Source organism: Homo sapiens, chromosome 13 (genome assembly GCF_000001405.40).
Source record: "Homo sapiens chromosome 13, GRCh38.p14 Primary Assembly".
NCBI lineage: Eukaryota > Metazoa > Chordata > Mammalia > Primates > Hominidae > Homo > Homo sapiens.
Window position 1 is genome coordinate 45,026,655 of NC_000013.11, and position 21,361 is coordinate 45,048,015.

A 21,361-nucleotide genomic window follows, 5' to 3' on the forward strand; every position below is an offset into this window, starting at 1 on the left:
AAAATTGTCTTTTCTTCCATTACCCACTCTTCAATATATCTGAATTCAGAACATTTCAATAAAAGGTAAAATACCCATTTCTAAAGGACACTACACTCTTAGGAGAAATGTGTTTCAGACACAGAAGGACACAGAACCCTCCTGTGTTTACAGTTTCTTGATTAAAGGAAGTTTCAATCATACCGGTATTTTAGGTTTTTTGTCTCATACCCTGAAGACTTTTGCTTTCCTAAACAATATTCTATAGCCTCCTTTGTTAAATGAGAAAGGGCTATAATGAAAGGGATGGCATCTTCACAAGAGGTAGTCTAGGCCAAATCAATTGTAAGAAAGACTACATGAAGAAGTAGAGAATCATGGAAAAATAGCCTTAAAATTACCCATGCCTTCATACTCCATAGACTCTACTCTCTGTAGCACCCAGGGATACGTATACCCCAGATTGAAGGCTGCTGGTCTGTACTACCTGCATCTCCTTTTCCATCTCCCTCCCTGCTCCTTCCATCCAGGACTGTTCTATCCTTTACCTTAGTCAATACTCAGTGGTCTGTAGTCAATCCCTAGTTTATTAAATCAATTGTTTTTGCTCAGACTTTGTCTTACTAGATACATCTGAAAATGTGAACACCTACCCTAGCTAAGAAGAAAAAAAATTGAGGGAATTAAGGGAAAAAGAGAACGACAGAAAACTGAAAGGAACAAAAATTATCTTAGCTTATGGAACATGCCAACATATGCTGCACAGGCCTTGAATTTTGCCACATCCGTGTTCTTACTACTTTTCTTTTACCTTTGTTTTTGCTTCAGCCTGACAGTGCCTTTCCTTCCTATCCGTCCATTTAGCCTTCAAAGACCAGCACGTCTATGAAGTGACAATATGATTGCTCTTTCTTTCACACCCCGTTCTTGGTTTGTACTCTGATGTTTAGTATTTAAATAACCATAATGCTTTTCATTACATATTTTCTTTATAAATGCTGTCTTGGATTTGGAAAAAAAAAAACTACTGGGGTTTGTAAATAGCCCTCCTTAATGTGCACCATTACTATCTATTCCGTTTCATGGTCATATTCTGTCAATAATCTATATACAAACTATAGTTTTTATTTCTGCTCTCCTGCTCTCTCCAGGAATCAAAAAGATCAGAATCTCTTATGGACATACATCATAAAAAGTTAAAGAGTAAGGCTGCTGAAGACAAAAATAAGCCTCAAGAGAGAATACCATTTGACCGTGATAAAGATCTCAAGGTTAATCGGTTTGATGAAGCTCAGAAAAAAGCCCTAATAAAAAAATCTAGAGAACTAAACACCAGATTTTCACACGGCAAAGGCAATATGTTTTTATAAGTAAGTATATTTCAGTGAGGTATATTTTAATACTGATCAATGTGAACTTTTCTAAATACTCTATTGTCTTTAATAATTGTGCTGAAATCTATTTCCTTTTATAATAGATTAAAAATTTTATATTTTTATAAGTAAACAGTGATTTTTGAAAAGTCAGCCTTGTGGGATGAAAAATATGTCTTACTGGAAAAATCCCTCATAATAACCTAATAGGGCATTGCTATTAAAAATGCTAAAATAAAAATTCAGCTTATGAGAAATGGCAAAGGAAGGTGTGGTTTGATACTTGAGTAAATATGCATGCTTTATTAAAGATGAAGAAAGGCTTGCTGGTTGTTTGTATGTTAAACAAAATCCCAACTAGGAAATGTTTGTTGCTTAGAAAGGTCCCCTATAAGTTAAGGTTCAAAACTATTCCAATATTCATCCATAGCCCAATCTGACAAGGGTTCAGAATGGTGATTAAGAAATTACATAAAGCTGGGTGCAGTGGCTCACGCCTGTAATCCCAACACTTTGGGAGGCCAATGTGAGAGGATCGCTTGAGCCCAGTAGTTTGAGACCAGCCTGCTTAAGATGGTGAGACCCCGTATCTACAAAAAACTAACCAGGTGCAGTGGAGCACACCTATAGTCCCAGCTACTCAGCAGGCTGAGGTGGGAGGATCCCTTGAGCCCAGGAATTCAAGGCAGCAGTGAGCTGTGATTGTGCCATTGCACTCCAGTCTGGGCAACAAAGTGAGACCTCGTCTCTTTAGAAAAAAAAAAAGAGGCCAGTGGCTCACACCTGTAATCCCAGCACTTTGGGAGGGTGAGGCGGGTGGATCACCTGAGGTCAGGAGTTCGAGACCAGCCTGAACAACATGGTGAAACCCCATCTCTATTAAAAATATATATATATAAAAATTAGCCAGGTGTGGTGGCACGTGCCTGTAATCTCAGCTACTTGGGAGCCTGAGGCAGGAGAATTGCTTGAACCCGGGAGGTGGAGGTTACAGTGAGCCGAGATCGTGCCACTGCACTCTAGCCTAGGTGACAAGATCGAGAGACTCTGTCTCAAAAAAGAAAGAAAAAGAGAAGAAAAGAAATTACATAAAAGCTGAGGTTGCTTCTTAATATCTTTATGATTTTTAATTGTATTAAACCTATATCAATATTCAAATGTGATTTTTGAGGAAAATATGTTAAATTTAGAAATATTTTCCAACTTACTGAGTTTTCTTATTCTTACCTCAGGGGGATTTCCCTGTGCAATGAAGAAAAGTTGAAGAATACTCTTTGTCCATCTTTATTTCTTTGTTTTTGGCTTCTTAAGATTAGAGATTACTTTAATCTTAAAAAACATACAAATTTACCTTGTTCTGTATGTCCTTTTAAGGTCATGTGGAAACATAAAACGAATGTTTTTTATGTAGAACAGAATATTCTATGTGCCTTTAGCTTCTGTGGAAGTATGGGGAATTATGGGCTTTTCTTCAAATAATTATTTTAAGAGGCTTCCATTCCCCCTGATTTTTGTGGTGTCTCACAAGTACCCTCTAAGGTCTGGTCAGGACTGACCACCAAATCTCTACCACAGCCTGGACCTCCTTGTGAAATATACCTAACCTGCCCTAGAGTCAGTGTGTCAAGTCCTTACTGTAAATCCATGACTTTGAAATTTGTTGTTTTTTCCCTTTAAACTGCAGCCAGTGAATACAAATTTACTTGAAAATAGAGGGTATGGGGTTTTGCCTGTTTTGTAATCAGTTTGCTTGTTTTAGCACTCAGGGCTTTTTATTTGTTATTTAATTTTTTAATTGTTTTTAAGTCAGAAAGATCTCTGGGTTATCTCATGTGCTAAGGAAAAACTATTTTGCTTTTTCCAACTTTAATAGTTAGTATTTCTAGGGGAGGCAATCAAGATAAGATATGCCATTAACTGTTAGCATTGTGAAATCTGTAAGACTCAATCTCTGATCTCAACCAAAGCTTTCTGAGTCCTGGAACTTTGCTTTGGGACAACTTTACTTTACCCATTTATATGCTGTACTTAACAGTTTGTAGCTAATTTATGGGGTCATATCTTTTTTTTAGCTAATTTACGGGGGTCATATCAGTCATGAATAGCCTTTTTTAAAAATTTAATAATCCCTGAATACAAAAATGGAAATGGAAAATTTATAATCATAACCCCCCTAATTGGGAGTATTATAAGTTTGTAATGCTTTAAGCACTGCCTCTTAAGATGATAAATTTATAAGATGAGAAATTCTATTTAAACTATTAAACTATTGTTAAATAAATGCCAATTCTATAAGTTATATTTTCTTGCAGATTAATCCCAATTGTTCCACTAGTATTCTAGTTTTGATGAGACACAAATTTTTGTTGTTGTTTATTTTTGTTTTTTTGAGAGATGGAGTCTTGCTCTGTCACCCAGGCTGGAGTAGAGTGGCGTGATCTCAGCTTACTGCAACCTCCGCCTCCTGGGTTCAAGCGATTCTCCTGCCTCAGTGTCCCAAGTAGCTGGGACTACAGGCGTGCACCACCATGCTCAGCTAATTTTTGTATTTTTTAGTAGAGATGGGGTTTCACTATATATTGTTCCAGGCTGGTCTCGAACTCCAGACCTCAGGTGATCTACCTGCCTCGGCCTCCCAAAATGCTGGGATTACAGGCATCAGCCACCATGCCTGGCCAAGACACAAATTTTTAATGGAAAAATATTCTGATTCCCAGTTCATGTAAGCTTTATGAAAATTGAGTATATTGTTTATATGATGGTACAAATTATTCTTCCTCTAATAATAGCAGTACAGTATATTTTTTCCATAGCATCAGTGTAAACCATAGCAAACTAAAGGAGCATTGCTATTAAAAAGATGAATTAGCTGGGCGCAGTGGCTCATACCTATAATCCCAGCACTTTGGGAGGCCGAGGTGGGTGGATCACCTGAGGTCAGGAGTTCAAGACCAGCCTGACCAACATGGTGAAATCCTGTCTCTATTAAAAATATAAAAATTAGTCGGGCCTGGTGGCGGGTGCCTGTAATCCCAGCTACTCAGGAGGCTGAAGCAGGATAATTGCTTGAACCTAGGAGGCGGAGGTTGCAGTGAGCCAAGATCACACCATTGCATTCCAGCCTGGGCAACAAGAGTGAAACTCCATCTCTAAATAAATAAGTAAATAAATAGATGAATTTTTCTCCTAAGCAAATTGAAAAAGCTTCTTGTGTACTCAAAATTGAACAGAGCTACCTTTTGACTAAAAATGTCATTTTTAATGAGCAGTATTTTCTGAACACAAAATTTTGTACAAGAGTGTCTCCATTGCATTAATTTAATTTTGTTATAATTTTTTCCCAATGAAAGGAAAAAAGTATTTTGTAGCTCCTCTTCCTTATGTAAATTCTTAACATATATTTTTGAGAAATTTGCATTTTTTAAAGTAAAATTGTTATCTTTGGATACTTACTTTTCTTTGTTTTCCTCATTTAAAGAGAATAGGGATATTTCTGTATTATATATTTACTGTTTCATCCCTCACCTTTGGAGTGACCATGACCTTGGCATGAAGGAGAGAAACCTCTGCTTTCCGCCTATTGCTTCCAGGAGTTACTACCTTACTGGCCTTGGAGATAATGCTCTTTTGTGCCAACCTGAGGATAATTTTAACAAAATGTAAGGCCAGTTTCAGAGGTTGTTTTGCCCCACAGAGAGACTAATCCCAATACAAGAATATTGACAACAAAAGGACAAAGTAGTTATTGCACAGGACGGAAAGGTGTCTTTATTTCATCCCCTCCCCACTTCCAAAGATGCAAAAGGCCTAATTGAATCAAGTCTCCTTTCCATCTGGCAGGAGACATTTTAATAAGGACTTTTTAATTTCCTACATTTCTTGGCCAAGTGTCATAGGAATGTGGCCTCTTTTGAAATTTAAAAATGAAGAAGAAAAAAAGAGCAACACTAAGTTAATATAATGGAGCAGATACTTTTAATGTTCTTACCATTGAATATGCCATTTAAGTTTGTTATACTTGAAATTATATGATTTTTGTCCAGCTCTCTAAATTGTCATCTCCAATAGATTTAGATGCTTCAAATAGTAACCACATTACTGGTAAGTAAACGGTGGGGTTATTGGGTTTAGCAAGTGGGGAAGTAAGGGGTGAACAAAACACGAGAGATGGTGGCTACACCCCTACTAAGACTGCCTTACCAGATAAATGAAATCCTTTTTGTATTAGGCACAACATGGTAAATTAAGTCTTGCTCTAAAAAAAAAGAAAAAGAAAAAAGAGAAAAGCCCTGATCTAAGAGTTTTTAGATGCTAGCAACCTTGTTTAGATGTAGATCTTGTTTAGATGTAGCAACCACTTGACATTTAATTTATCATCTTAACCTTGAATGATTCTTTGTTTTGTTTTTTGTTATTGAGATGGAGTCTCACTCTTGCTGCCCAGGCTGGAGTGCAGTGGCGTGATCTCGGCTCACTGCAACCTCCACCTCCCGAGTTCAAGCGATTCTTCTGCCTCAGCCTCCCAAGTAGCTGGGACTACAGGCGCCCACCACCGTGCCCAGCTAATTTTTGTATTTTTAGTAGAGACGGGGTTTCACCATGTTAGTCAGGCTGGTCTCGAACTCCTGACCTCAGGTGATCCGCCCACCTCAGCCTCCCAAAGTGCTGGGATTACAGGCGTGAGCCACCGCGCCTGGCCTGAATGATTCTTTGTATTAACGATTTATTTAGAAGTGAGGTTGAGATTGGCCAGGTGCGGTGGCTCACGCCTGTAATTCTAGCACTTTGGGAGGCCAAGGCAGGCGGATTGCCTGAGCTCAGGAGTTTGAGACCCAGCCTGGGCAACATGGTGAAACCCTGTCTCTACTAAAATACAAAAAATTAGCTGGGCATGGCGGTGTGCGCCTGTAGTCCCAGCTACTCGGGAGGCTGAGGCAGAAGAATTGCTTGAACCCAGGAGGCGGAGGTTGCAGTGAGCCAAGATCGCGCCACTGCACTCCAGCCTGGGCGACAGAGCGAGACTCCATCTCCAAAAAAAAAAAAAAGTGAGGTTGAGATTTGCATGGTACCAAGGCTTACATGCTTCAGAATAGATCAATGGTTATTGTATAAGTAATTTTATCCTAAAACATTATGACATTTTTTGTTTCTTATTGAGGGTAGATAATGTTAATATTAAACTACTAATAGGAGGCCCTTATCACTTCTCTTTTCATTTTTTCCATGCAGTGATAGGTATTATTAGAAAAAAGTTATTTCTTGAGTTACACCTAAGAGGAAGAAGTAACATGATGGAAAGTGGTTGGAGATAGCACCCAATTAACATCGACAGCCAAGTCTTCTATTTCAGAATATTGATTTATTTCGCTTTGGCTTTTGATGCCATCATGAGATTTAAGTCTGCAGTTTCAAAAGCTCATGCTACTTAGATGATTTTTGCAGCTTAAAAAATTGCTTGTGACTGCAGTATGTACACAGTTAAAAAGCTGTTCACTGCCCCTTTCAACCTTTTCATTTTGAGCTTTACTAAGAGAATGCTTTTAGGAACAGAATTCCTAAAGTGTAATTTTTTATGTATAAATAAAGTTTTATCTATATCTGAGAAGTTGTAGTATTTATTTTTGTTTTAACATTATTAGCTTTTCTGAAGCAGGCAGTATTGGTAAAGAGAATATTCTGTAAAGGTTTATTCCGGCCAACCAGATCATTGTAGGCTATTGTAAAAAACAACAACAACTTTAACTCCAACTCGCTTGCCAGGTTTTCATTATCTAATATAACTATACAGATATTATCTGTTTATTTAGAAACACAAGACAGACAAACTGGAAATGTTCTTGAGAGCACTGTGACACTGGGTTATAACCAAGATTCCATTGTTCTTCATATCACAGGACCTGTAACAGTGGGTAGGTTTTTTCTGGATTGTTTGAGTATGAGTTTCTTTGGTTTGGTTTGGTTTGGTCTCTCTAACTCCCAAATTGAAAGTGACCAAAAGAGATGCTTTGCAACATCAAAGCTAAGCATTGAATGATAGGAATCTGAACATGTAGGGTCAAAAAGAGAGCCTTTGCTTTCTCAGATCATTTCCCTATAATAAGTATTTCTGGAGGAACTTATATGTTTGTTCATTTATTCAATAAACATTTATTAAATGCCTCAGTGTATGCTAGGTGCTAAGAACACAATGGTGAACCAGGCAGGCATAGTCTTCCTCCCTGGGAGAAGATTCTGTGCTGGTCCCTTATAGGGTATTCACAGATAAGTAAAGCAGATTCCTTGATTTGTGATTTTATATTCTAGTGGGAGAGCAGAAAAAGATCTGAGTAAAAAAGATCAAGTAATTGCACATTGTTGATAGGTGTTAGAAAGAAAACACGGTAGTGAAAGACTAGAACAAGTAGTTGAGGATGGGAATTCTATCTAGTTAGAGTGATAAGAAGTCTCTGAAGATGTGTCATTTAAGCTGAAACCTAAAAAAATGAAAAGCTAGCAGTGTGAAAAGTGACTGATCACATATGCAAATGCCCTGAAGCTTTAGTTCTTTGGTGTTTGAGGAACTGCTCCAGTATGGCGGGTATATTGTGAGAAATATGATGGTTCAGGGTTGGGTCTTCATAGTGTCTACTGATACTATGAAGCCTATATAGGAACATCTAACCCAGTCCTGGGAGGTGAAAGGAAGCTTCCTAATGGAGAATACTTTTTTATTTTTATTTCTTTTTTTTTTTTTTTATTTTTTTTTTTTGAGACAGAGTCTCCCTCTGTCGCCCAGACTGGAGTGTAATGGCGCAATCTCGGCTCACTGCACCCTCCGCCTTCCAGGTTCAAGTGATTCTCCTGCCTCAGCCTCCTGATAGCTGGGATTACAGGCACCCGCCACCACACCCGGCTGATTTCTGTATTTTTAGTAGAGACAGGGTTTCGCCATGTTGGCCAGGCTGGTCTTTTTTTTTTTTTTTTTTTTTGAGACGGAGTCTGGCTCTGTCTCTCAGGCTGGAGTGCAGTGGCGCCATCTCGGCTCACTGCAAGCTCCGCCTCTCGGGTTCACGCCATTCTCCTGCCTCAGCCTCCCCAGTAGCTGGGACTACAGGCGCCCACCACCACGCCCGGCTAATTTTTTGTATTATTAGTAGAGACGGGGTTTCACCGTGTTAGCCAGGATGGTCTCGATCTCCTGACCTGTTGATCCATCCGCCTTGGCCTCCCAAAGTGCTGGGATTACAGGCGTGAGCCACCGCCCCCGGCCTCCAATGGAGAATACTTCTTAACCAAGTTATAAACATGACATTGGAGTTGGCCAGATGGTTCTTACACCAAAGGTCTACTCTGCTGGCCTTCCAGAATTGCCCAAATGTGTCTGAATTCACTCTTAGGCCCTTGCTCTGCAAACACCCTGTATGTAACTCCACTAATAACTGTCATTAGTTATCAGAACATTAATACATTGATCTGAACATTGAGCCTATACTTTATCATCAAAACCATAAATATTTAAGAATAGCTGTTTTTTTAAGAAGTTGTTGTAAATTACTTGTTTCCTCCTGGGCCTAATTATTGAGGGTTATTTACATTCTTTTTAAGAACTGAATAGCACCAGATGAATTCAACAATTATTAGTCAAGTCTCTAGAATTCTGGACATAGCAGAATGTTTTTACTTAGGGACTGAAAAATACAGTAGATCAGTCTGTCTCTTAATTTGTAATCCTTAAACTATTTCTATCAGAATCACCTAGGAGTTCATTTAAATGCAGATCTCCAGGCCCAAACCTATTGAATAGGAATCTTTGGGGTTAGAATCAGAGCATCTTCACTTTTAACAATTATCCCAGGCCATTCTTTGTAAATTCAAGTTTAAGAACCACTGCATTTATGGGCAGACAAGGTAGCTCACACCTGTAATCTCAGCACTTTGGAGGGCCAAGGTGGGAGGATTGCTTGAGGCCAGGAGTTCAAGGCTACCCTGGCCAACATGGTGAAACCCTGACTCTAAAAAGAAATTTAAAAAAATAATAACCACCGCACTTACATGTGTTCCTATAAACAATCCCCTCTCCTTTGTTATATGTTCTGTTTTCCTATTATATATTCCTAAATACATAATCACTTTACTTTGCATAGCAACAAACACCAGCACCAGCAATACTTGCCTCTTGAAGAATGGATTGTCACTTCTCTTGAGTGAATGCCTAAAAGCATTCACCCTTCAAACATCTACCAGCCAGTTGCTACAGTGATCAAGATTCTACTGCCATTGATAATTCAGTTTCATTGCACTTTGCCCTCTCTTCAGCACCTTTTAAAATAGATAAGTCCCTAAGAGGAATAGTCAGATTGTAGTTCCTTGTCCCTGGCTGACTTGGGGCCATTTAAGACTGAATGCCTCAGGAATGCAGAACATTGAAAAGGCAGGGAGCACAAAAAGGGAGCACTGGTGGGCTATAGATGATCTGCAAAGGATGGTCTCTACCTTATGACTATTTTCCTTGGGGGAATTAACCAGTTAATGTTACTTTGAGGTCTTAGATAACTGTGCTTTGGCAGCTAAGGTATTAACTTCAGAAGCAACTGAGTTTACTTTTAGATACCAGTTTCTGTATTTGCTGACAAAGAAAAGATAACAGTAGGTAAAAGAATGTTAAAAAGAAACAAAAGGCCAGGCACAATGCCTCACATCTGTAATCCCAGCACTTCAAGAGGCCAAGACAGGAGGATCACTTGAGGGCCAGGAGTTCAAGACCAACCTGGGCAACGTGGCATGACCCTGTCTCTACAAAAAAATAAAAATTAAAAATTATCTGGGCATGGTGGCATGGCATGCATCTGTAGTCCCAGCTACTCAGGAAGCTAAGGCAGGAGGATCACTTGAGCCCAAGAGTTCAAGGCTGCAGTGAGCTATGAACATGCCACTGCACTCCAGCCAGGGAGACAGAGAGACCCCATCTCTAAAAGAGAAAAAAAGAAAGCAATAAAATTCTGCAGAACTAGGTAGGAAAGACAATAAAAGCTACAAGGGTGCATCATTGTTTTGAGATCTAGACAAATTTCGAGAACCTATTCAAGAATATTGAAAAGTATTTCAAAGTTCATTTTCATATCTCTGATTACTTACCGCTGTCCTGCCCTTTAAAGCACTTCCATTTGTTTTCTTTATGATGGGGTAATGTTGGCCAAACAGGCTATATGATAAAGTATTTAGTCCTAGTTTTATCTTCATACAATCAGAGCTCTGAGATGAAAATAAACTTGTTCCTTTTTTATCACTAGGTACAAAACAACAAATGAAGTTGCTTATGTATATAATATGATGATTTTTGTCTTTTTAGGTAATGGCTGAAAGCAACACATTTTGCTAACCTAAGGATAAATAATACTATAATACCTAATTCACACTACACACTTAACAAAAGCAATTTATCATCAGCCTAAGATTGCTAATTTTTATAACAGGTACAGACATAATTAACTTAATATTGACCAGCAAATAAATCTAGAAATTGTGCTTATTCTTTAGTATTCATTTTAACTGAATTTAAATTAGTGTTTTTCCCTAACAGCCTTGTATATTGCTTAATAAAATTGTCATATTTGAAAACAGAGATTCTTAAAGTTTAAAATGCTTGCAGTCAAATGACAGTTTATCAATAAAGATTTAAAACTATCTTTTAACCTGTCAGTTTGTAAGATGCTAATCAATCCATTATACTGTGTTGCCTCTAAGAAAATGACATGAAAAGATGGTTTCAGAATATTTCTTTCTACCAGCAAATCATAAAGAGCTTTTTAAAATCACATTTATAGTCTTTCCAGTGAGCTTATGTGAACACACAGTGGGGCTGCATCTTTATTGAGTATTTACCAGAACTGAGTAATATCTAGGCTTAGGTGAATGGAAGGTGATAGTTGAACAAAAATGATGACCAATTTAGTCAGCAAAATCGATGTCTTTCCAACTTTGATGTGAATCAGAATCCCCTGGGAGCTTATTACAAACATAGATGCCCTAACCTTCCAGAGGATTTTGTTTTGTTTTGTTTTTTTGGAGACAGAGTCTCATTCTGTTGCCCAGACTGGAGTGCAGTGGTACACATCTTGGCTCACTGCAACTTCTGCCTCCCAGGCTCAAGCGATTCTCCTGCCTCAGCCTCCTGAGTAGCTGGGACTACAGGCATGCACCACCACACCAGGCTATTGTCTGTGAGTAAAGACGGGGTTTTCACCATGTTTGCCAGGCTAGTCTCAAACTCCTGGTCTTAAGTGATCTGCCCACCTCAGCCTCCCAAAGTGCTGGAATTACAGGTGTGAGCCACCATGCCCAGCCAATCAGAAGTTTTGATTCCATCTATAGGTTTGGGGTTGGGCCCAATAGATGGTTGGGCCGTCTATTTTGGGCAAGCTGCCCAGGTGATTCTGTGTACCCTGAAGTATGAGAATCCAACTTGGTTTGGTCTGAACATGACATTTCTAGAGGTTCTTAAAGCTTAAAATGTTTGCAGTCAAACCACAGTTTAGAGTCTAACATTAATAGAATCAAGATTAAGATTTCTAGAATCAAAGATGTTGGATGGTTGTCAGATTGTGGCCACTGAGCCTCTTGATTCAAAAGATAGAAGGCAAAACTCATTTTCCTAGGCTCCCTTGCTGCTAGAGCACAAGTATGTGGCCTGGCCTCTGCCAATCAGATGCACCCACGTGCAGTTGGTATTCCAAGAGATAAGGGAAGAAGTTGGCATTCCCAGAATCGTCTTCTGATGGGCATATTAGTGGACACGGACTGATCTTCAACAGCAGCAGAGGCGGCATGTCTGGCACCCAGTCCCAAGCATCAGTGGTGTCAACTGCTGTGGCTGTGAGACTGGGGTTTCTCTAGAGGAGCATTGCAGTGTGGGTGGATATATTCCTGCTTATATAACTTCTGGTCAGCTTAAACTAATCAGAGTATACTACTTTGTTTGCAACTAAGCCCTGACTAACATACGGAAGTTATACCATGCCAGTTAACCATGGTATAAACTTTGGAGACAGCAGCCTGCAGTCAATTCCTATGTAAACACTAGCTTTGTAAACCTGAGAAAGGTTCTTAACCTATTTCAGCTGTAATTTATTTGTCTCTTAAATGGGCAATAATAACTCACAAGATGTTACCAGGATTACATGAGATGACATATTTAAATAATTAGCACAAAATCCAGCAATAAATGATGGTGTCGTTATTGTAGCCCCCTGGCTATTAGATGCACTCAGACAACTCTGGTAAACAGGCTCACTTATTTCTTACAACCTCAGAAGATTCCTGTATTGGGACTCTTTGCAGTAAGTGATAGCAACTCAACTCAAATTGGCTTAATCAAAAAAAGATAGTTTATTCACTCATGTGGCCAGGCACAGTGGCTCACACCTGTAATTCCGGCACTTTGGGAGGCCAAGGCAGGAGGACTGCTTGAGGCCAGAAGTTCAAGACCAGCCTTAGCAACATAGGAGACCACGTCTGTACAAAAAATTTTTAAAAATTAGCTAGGGACCGGGTGCGGTGGCTCACGCCTGTAATCCCAACACTTTGGGAGGCCGAGGTGGGCAGATCACGAGGTCAGGAGATTGAGACCATCCTGGCTAACACGGTCAAACCCTGTCTCCACTAAAAATACAAAAAATTAGCCGGGCGTGGTAGCAGGTGCCTGTAGTCCCAGCTACTTGGGAGGCTGAGCAGGAGAATCACTTGAACCGGGGAGGCGGAGGTTGCAGTGAGCCAAGATTGGGCCACTGCACTCCAGCCTGGGCAACTGAGTGAGACTCCATCTCAAAAAAAAAAAAAACAAAAACAAACAAAAATTAGCTGGACATGGTGGTGTGAGCCTGTAATCTCAGCTACTTGGGAGACTGAGACGGGAAGTTGAGGCTGCAGTGAGCCATGTTGACGCTACTGGACTCCAGCCTGGGCGACAAGAGTGAGACCCCTTCTCAAGAAACTAATTAAAAATAAAAGATTTTTTTTTAAATAAAAATAATAAAAAACAAAAACAAGTTAAAAGGAAAAAAAGGAAGCAAAAAAAAAGAAAAAAGAAGATAAAGATTTATTCACTCATGTAATGAAAAGTCCAGACTGTAGCCCTGGCTTTAGGCACAACTGGATCTGGGTGCCCAAAATGTGTCACAGGATTCTGTCTCTCTTCCTCAGCCTGCCTTCCTTTGTGTGAATTTCATCCTCAGGTGGGCTTCCTAGACAGTGACAAGCTTGATAGCAGCATGTCTAAAGTGACGTTCTGCCAGTTTAACCAACCAGTGAAAAGAAAGCTGCTCTTTCCTGCCAAAGTCCAAGAACTGATGCTGATTGGCTCATCTTTGGTCACTTGTTCACCCTAAATCAATCACATGGACAGGAGATAAAACACCCAATAGCCCAGGCTAGTTCCTGTCTCTACCCATGGAGCCAAAGGGTGGGTTAAACTCTATCTAAACCACCTAGAACAAAAACTTGGCAGGGTAGTTCCCTAAAAGAAAGTGGAAATGTTATCATTGGAAACAAAGATTACACATACTATAAAGGCAAAAACATCTGATGCTATGGCTCCGTCTCACCTTTGATTCCCACCAGTTTTCTAATGAGAATACCAACATTGTGTTTACCAAACTGCGGTCTCACCCACCTAACCTGTCCATTCATCTCAGGTTTACCAATGTTAGCATCTGGCCATTGTGAACCCCCTTTTCATTAGATATCTGCTAGTCCTGTCTCATGGTTATGAATTTTCATGTGCAGAGGGGATGGGGCACATGCACACATCGACATGCTTCAGAGATGACTCAGCCAGGGTGGGTGCCACCCAGTAAGATGGCGTTGTTTCTAAAATGCCTGCTCCTCCCTCCTGATTTGCTTCCATCACATCCTCTGACATCAAGAAGTACATTTAGCACAAACAAGGTAGATGAGAAATGAGCTGTCACAGTTTATTCACCACATTCTGCTGCAATTTATAAATCACAGTACAATTCAAAATGATTTATTTAGCCTTTCCATCTAAAAAAAAAAAGAAAGGGAAATGAAAAAAATATGAAGGATTACCAGCTCCAACCCAATCAATAGCAAGGAAGCCTGCTTAACTCTGCCAATTAATCGTGTCTCTTGGATATGAGATGTCCAATGACAGGAGGCTTGGAGAGAGGTTAGCCAAAGTCAAAACCAGATTCACCGTCACTTCAAGCTCAAGGGGTCTAGAGTTAGCTGCTCCCAGCTAACCATTATCATTGGTTGAGGGCACTGGTAGGCCACTGGATTCCTCAGCTTGTTCTGCAGTTCTCTAGCCTCTGTGTACCACAATGTTTCCCTAAAGGAAACTGGAGGTATTGTTACCAAAAGAAGATAATGTATTCTGGGTAGGTAAAAACATAAAGAGGAAGAAAGAAACTACAATCAGTAAAAAGCCTGACATAGAGTAGTTCGAAAAGGAATTGTTAAAGCATTGTAGAGAGGTAGGTATTTAATAAATGGTTGTTTATAATTAGCAATCAAATGTGATGCTATAATCCTGCTGGCCTCCCATACATGGCCATTAGATAACTTGTAAATGTATTATTCTAAAGAGAATAGAAGGGCAGGCGTGGTGGCTCCCACCTGTAATCCCAGCACTTTGGGAGACAGAGGCAGGGGGATCACTTGAGGTCAGGAGTCCAAGACCAGCCTGGCCAAGATGGCAAAACCCCATCTCTACCAAAAATACAAAAATTAGCCAAACATGGTGACACATCCCTGTAGTCCCAGCTACTTGGGCAGATGAGGCAGGAGGATCACTTGAACCCAGGAGGCGGAGGTTGCAGTGAGCCAAGATCATGCCACTGCACTCCAGCCTGGGTGACAGAGCAAGACTCTGTCTCAAAAAAAAAAAAGGGAAGGTATTTTTTTTCTTACATAGGTAAATATCCCTAAATGAGCTTTGTTTATACTGCCTAGTAAGCAGTTGAACTTCAGTGTGAGCAATAATGACATTAATTTAGGCATTTAATAATACAAATTATACCTATTAGAGTGTGAGTTTTGAGTTCTCAGTAATAATGCAAAAAAAAGCGGGGGGGGTGTAGCTATAGCCAAAAAAAAAGCTAGTAGAATATTGGATAATAGAAGAGAGAAAAGAAATACAAAAGAAAAAAAAAAGTGCTACACTTGGACAAACCTATGGTGGATCTATCTAGAAAACTGTTTCTTGGCTGGATGCAGTGGCTCACACCTGTAATCCCAGCACCTTGGGAGGCCAAGGCTGGTGGATCGCCTGAGGTCAGGAGTTTGAGACCAGTGTAGCCAACATGGTGAAACCCTCATCTCTACTAAAACACAAAATTAGCTGGGCATGGTGGCTCACGCCTGTAATCCCAGCTACTTAGGAGGCTGAGGCATGAGAATCACTTGAACCCAGGAGGCAGAGGTTGCAGTGAGCTGAGATCGTGTCATTGCATTCCAGCCTGGGCGACAGAACAGGACTCTGTCTCAAAAAACAAAAACAAAAACCTGTTTCTTATTCTAGTTTTGATACCTCAAGAAAAAACATGGTAAGAAAAGAAGTTCTAGAGAACAACTGAATTGATGAGTAGTTCTTGTCTACAAATATTTATCGAGCTTCCACAATGTGTGAGACTGGTCTGGAGATAAATATAAAAGACATGGTCCTCAGCTTCACAGTCCAATGGGAGAGACAGAGACACAGAAATAGCTCTAATTATGCAATGTGGTGAGCAGAGAACAGAGATATGCGCAGGACACTGATTGAGGTCACAGAGGAGAGGCACTAGGAATGGCTAGAGATGAGCTGAAAACAGACAGAACGAGAGAGGAATACAAAGTGGCCTGTGGGTGTTGTTGCTGCTGTTGTTATGTGTACATTCAGGAGTGAGAGAAGCCAGTTTGAAAAGAAGAAGCAATGGAAGGGGAGAGCTGGAGTAACTAAGAGAGAAAACAGATCCAACGGGAAGGCTAGAGTTACAGGATGATGTATAGTGGGTTGGCCCAGAATAAACAGGGAGAGGGGCCCAACCTCCTCCAAACCCAGAGAAGAGCAGATAAAGATGGTTATGGGCAGTGATAAGCTTGGAAGTAGAGGGCCAGAAAGTTAAGGGAGATCAGACCTGGCATATTCAATTTGTTGGAGTAGAGGTTTTTAACCTTTCAGGATGTTGACAATCTGATGAAAACTACCAATGTTTTTCTCTCAAAAAGGCACATTAGGCCGGGAGCCATGGCTCACGCCTATAATCCCAGCACTTTGGGAGGCCAAGACAGGAGGATCACTTGAGCCTGGGAGTTCGAGACCAGCCTGGGCAATATAGTGAGACCTCATCTGTACAAAAAAATAAAATAAAATAAAACTGCCTGAGGGTGGTGGCGCATGCCTGTGGTCCCAGGTACTTGGGAAGCTGAGGTGAAAGGATCACTTGAGACCCAGAAGCAGAGGCTGCAGTGAGCCAAGATCACGCTACTGCACTCCAGCCTGGACAACAGAGCAAGATCCTGTCTCAAAAAAAAAGAACATTACCCAAATTTTAACATATAATTTCAGTTTCTCAACCTGCTGAATCCCAACCACAGACACCAGGCGGAGAGCCTGCATTCTACCCAGGTAAGACAGGTCATTTGCTGACAGTAAGGAATTGGGGGGACACGGGGTGCTTAAAGATTTGGAATAAACACTGCAGCCCAAGTGAGAGGGACCAAAACAAAGACAAGCAGATGACAGAGCTAAAGTTCCTGGCCTGGGTTAGAAACCGTAGTGTGACATGTCTGTCAGCACAACTGTGCCAAGGTGAATTGCAGCATTGATCCAGGCTGGGAACTTAAGAGAGTAGAATGCCCATTAGGAACACTGAAGTGATTAACACAAATTCCAGAGCAGGTAGTGAAGAAGACAGCCCAGGAGGGGACTGACAAACTGGGAGAGAGGGCTTTGTGAGCTGGAAGGGATGCTACCTCACATTATACCAAAAACTCCTGGAAAAATGCAGAGCTCCTACCTCCTCCCTTGCTGAGGTAGGCACAGCTGTCAGCTCTTTGGATCTCTCACTAATTGTCATAACCCATCTTCCCTTCACGGTCCCATCTGGGTCTCCTCTGCACCTCTCCCTGACCACTTGCTTTTCTCCCTCCACATACAAACATGCTCAAGGCTTTCCCACATTCAAAAACAAAAGAACAGGAACATTGAACCTTCCTTCAAAGACAAGGTTAGATGGACTTAAAGCTCATCTGCTGGCCAGGCACAGTGGCTCATGCCTGTAATCCCGGTACTTTGGGAGGCAGAGGCGAGCGGATCACCTAAGGTCAGGAGTTCAACACCAGCCTGACCAACATGGTGAAACACCATCTCTACTAAAAATACAAAATTAGCCAGGTGTGGTGGTGGGCGCCTGTATCGCAGCTATTCAGGAGGCTGAGGCACGAGAATCACTTGAATCCAGGAGGTGGAGGTTGCAGTGAGCCAAGATCACGCCATTGCACTCTAGTGTGGGCAAAAAGAGCGAAACTCCACCCAAAAACAAACAAACAAACAAACAAAAAACTCATCTGCCATAGAAAATTCTGAAACAGACATATATATAAAGATAGCATTTCAAATCAGTGGGAAAAAAATAGATTACTCAATAAATGGTGTTGAGACTACTGGGTAGACATGTGGGGGAAAAAAATACATTAGATCTCTGTAAATCAAAATAAACTCCAGATAGATTAAACCTTTCTTTCCCCTGGGGCAGAGTCTCGCTCTGTTTCCCAGGCTGGAGTGCAGTGGCGCCACATCAACTCACTGCAACCTCCGCCTCCCAGGTTTAAGCAATTCTCCTGCTTCCGCCTCCCCAGTAGTTGGAATTACAGGCGCACGCCACCACACCTGGCTAATGTTTGTATTTTTAGTAGAGACAGAGTTTCACCATGTTGCCCAGGCTGGTCTTGAACTCCTGACCTCAAGTGATCCACCTGCATTGGCCTCCCAAACTGCTGGGTTTACAGGCGGAGCCACTGCAACTGTATCACATATATATGATACAAAATAAAAGTCTTTTCGGTAATGTTGAAATTGGCAAGAACTTTCTAAGAATAACATAACATCCAGAAGCCCTAAAATAAAACATTGATAGGCCGGGCAGGGTGGCTCGCGAGGCAGGGTGGCTCGTGCCTGTAATCCCAGCACTTTGGGAGACCCAGGTAGGTGGATAACCTGAGGTCAGGAGTTCGAGACCAGCCTGACCAACATGGAGAAACCCCGTCTTTACTAAAAATACAAAACTAGCAGGGCATGGTGGCGCATGCCTGTAATCCCAGCTACTCAGGAGGCTGAGGCAGGAGAATCGCTTGAACCCAGGAGGCAGAGGTTGCAGTGAGCCAAGATCACACTATTGCATTCCAGCCTGGGCAACAAGAGCAAAACTCCGTCTCAAAAAATAAAAATAAAAATAAATTTAAAAATAAAACATTGATAAATTGGTATATATTAAAGAAAAATTCTGCATAGAAAGCATAATCAAAAGACATGAATATTTGCAACTCACATCACAGACAAAAGCCTAAGTTCTTAGCATTTAAACAGCTGATAAAAATAAGAAAATAAAAAAGAACCAGCAAGCTAATAGATAAATGGGCAAAGAATCTGAACACGATTCACAAAAGCAGGTAGTGGGAAATTGGCTCTCTCATGCATTGACAGTCAAATATAAATTAGTGTGGCTTTTTTGTTTTTTTTCTTTTTTAGATGGAGTCTCGCTCTGTCTCCCTACAGTGGCGCGATCTGGGCTCACCACAACCTCTGCCTCCCAGGTTCAAGCAATTCTCCTGTCTCAGCCTCCTGAGTAGCTGGGACTACAGGCACGCACCACTGCGCCCAGCTAATTTTTGTATTTTTAGTAGAGGCGGGGTTTTACCACATTGGCCAGGCTGGTCTTGAACTCCTGACCTCGTGATCTGCCCATCTTGGCCTCCCAAAGTGCTAGGATTACAGGCGTGAGCCACCACACCCGGTGGTGTGGCCTTTTAAAGCCCATTAAAAGAGGCCTGGTTAAATACATTGTTACCTCCATTCTACCTCTATTCTACACTGCTATTTAAAAGAATGAGTCAGTTCTATATATCCATCTCCAAGATATAATAAGAATACTGAAGTGTAGAATCATGTGTTACCAAAAAAAAAAGTAAGGAGGGCCTACTCGGTGCTCTCTCCACTTGGATGATCCGCGAGCACTTCAAACACACACAGCAGGACCAAAGGATAATTCAATATTTGCTTTAAATCAAAATCTGCCTATAGAAGCAAAGAATATCTCTGGGAGAAGGCACAAGAAACCAGTAAGTATAGCTGTCATATTCCAACCTCTTCCCCTAATATTCCCTCTTTCTATGAATCAGAAGCACAGACAACAAAGTCGCCCAATCCAGGGCCGGAGAGTCATTCTGGAACTTGGTTAAGAACGTAATGCCATAGAAACAAATCTGTAAAATTCAAATTTGATGACATTACTCACCTACTTAAAGTCATTCATTTCTGCCACCCTCCTCACACCCCTTCCCTCCCTCCCCCTGCCCAGTGAAGAGCCTGTTCCTGCAAGGAGGTGCCTACCATCTCTGCTCTGGATGCTTGCAAATGTCCCGAAGAGGCTTTCGTATGTGGTCTAATACTGATAGCTGCTTCTCAGGTTTTTCCGCCAGCACTGTCTGTGTACCTGCTTCTGCCTGAAGAGCTGTTTGGAAGGTAGCAAGCATATGAACCTAAATGAAGACAGGAATTACTACATGTTATTCTCTGGTTTATTTTGATGACAAAGTCCCCCTACTGATAAAACATTGCATTATTTCATCTTTCAACCTTGAGGGACAGAATCCTTGAAGACCCAGCTCAAAAATGTTCTCTAGCGCCGGGCGCGGTGGCTCATGCCTGTAATCCTAGCACTTTGGGAGGCCGAGGCCGGCAGATCACGAGGTTAGGAGATCGAGACCATCCTGGCTAACACGGTGAAACCCCGACTCTACTAAAAATACAAAAAAATAGCCAGGCGTGGTGGCGGGCGCGCGCCTGTAGTCCCAGCTATTAGGAAGGCTGAGGCAGGAGAATGGCGTGAACCCGGGAGGCGGAGCTTGCAGTGAACCGAGATCGTGCGACTGCACTCCAGCCTGGGCGACAGAGCGAGACTCCCTCAAAAAAAAAAAAAAAAGGCCCCTAGCTCGATAGCTTACACAGCTTTCCCAGCCAGTAGGTCACCCCACTGTCATTCTTCCATTAGCTCTTGGGACTGTTATGCGCTGTTTACTTGTTTTGCAACGGATTATGAACTGCGTGAAGGCAATATCCTATCTTTTGTATTAGTATTATTTCTAGGGCCTAGCTGAAATATAATAGATACTCAGTGAACTTTGTAGGAGGGAGGGAGGGATGGATACATTAAAAGAAATGGAGAAAGTCTTCTTAAATCCTAACAGTACAAACTTGAGTTCTTTTCTAGGTGAGGTAGACCTGGAAATGTTAGCGATTCCACAAGGCGGCACTAGAGTTCCACCTGTCTCCCTCCGCCGAGAAAAGCCGGAGCCAACTAAGTCTTGCCCCGGCTGGTACCTTGTAGCAGATGCCTGCTTTAGCCGAGTAAGCCAAGAAAAATGATTTGAATGAGGACTGAGGGAGGAATGAGTGCAGGGAGGCCACAACACTGTTATGGTAAAGAAATGATCATTTTAAAGGGACTTCAATAGAAAGCCCCCCACCCCCATCTCTGGACAACATCCTACTCCTAGCGCTGGGAGCCATGTATCCAAACAATAGGGTATTCTTTTCTCAGTCCAGTTTTTCCGCCTCCTCTAATTAAGCAAAACACTAAGGCTCATAAAATATTGGGTTATCATTCTAGCTCCACAGTATTTCCCAATTGAGTGCTCTCTTCCTTATTCCATGATAGATCACAGCTGTCACAAATATTACCATTTCCTCCTTGGTAACCTCCCAAGAGGTCACTGAAACTTTCATCCTGGACCTCTGAACCCTAGATTTCTGT

At 41.3% G+C, this 21,361-nt stretch overlaps 1 protein-coding gene and 1 long non-coding RNA gene across 8 annotated transcripts in view; one reads left to right on the plus strand and one right to left on the minus strand.

Moving 5' to 3' along the window:
• The window catches only part of GPALPP1 (GPALPP motifs containing 1), a 48,132-nt gene extending 37,117 nt beyond the window's left edge, over positions 1 to 11,015 (plus strand). For 3 of the 7 annotated variants that reach the window (NM_001316951.2, XM_011535144.3, XM_047430437.1), the window contains 2 exons: positions 1,131 to 1,349; positions 2,585 to 3,651. In NM_001316951.2, the coding sequence (NP_001303880.1) occupies positions 1,131 to 1,349 (219 nt within the window). In that variant the 3' untranslated portion in view covers positions 2,585 to 3,651. Of the gene's footprint in view, positions 1 to 1,130; positions 5,454 to 6,581 lie in introns of those variants that run through there. The other 4 variants (NM_001316952.2, XM_005266444.4, XM_047430436.1 and 1 more) reach the window with 3 other exon arrangements.
• Positions 11,016 to 19,511: 8,496 nt separating this feature from the next.
• On the minus strand, positions 19,512 to 21,360 carry LOC105370188 (uncharacterized). Its single transcript, XR_941935.2, has 3 exons — positions 21,289 to 21,360; positions 19,939 to 20,087; positions 19,512 to 19,811 (listed from the first exon to the last, which is right to left on the minus strand). It is a non-coding gene; the product is annotated as an uncharacterized LOC105370188 (long non-coding RNA).
• Between the last annotated feature and the right edge of the window lies 1 nt (position 21,361).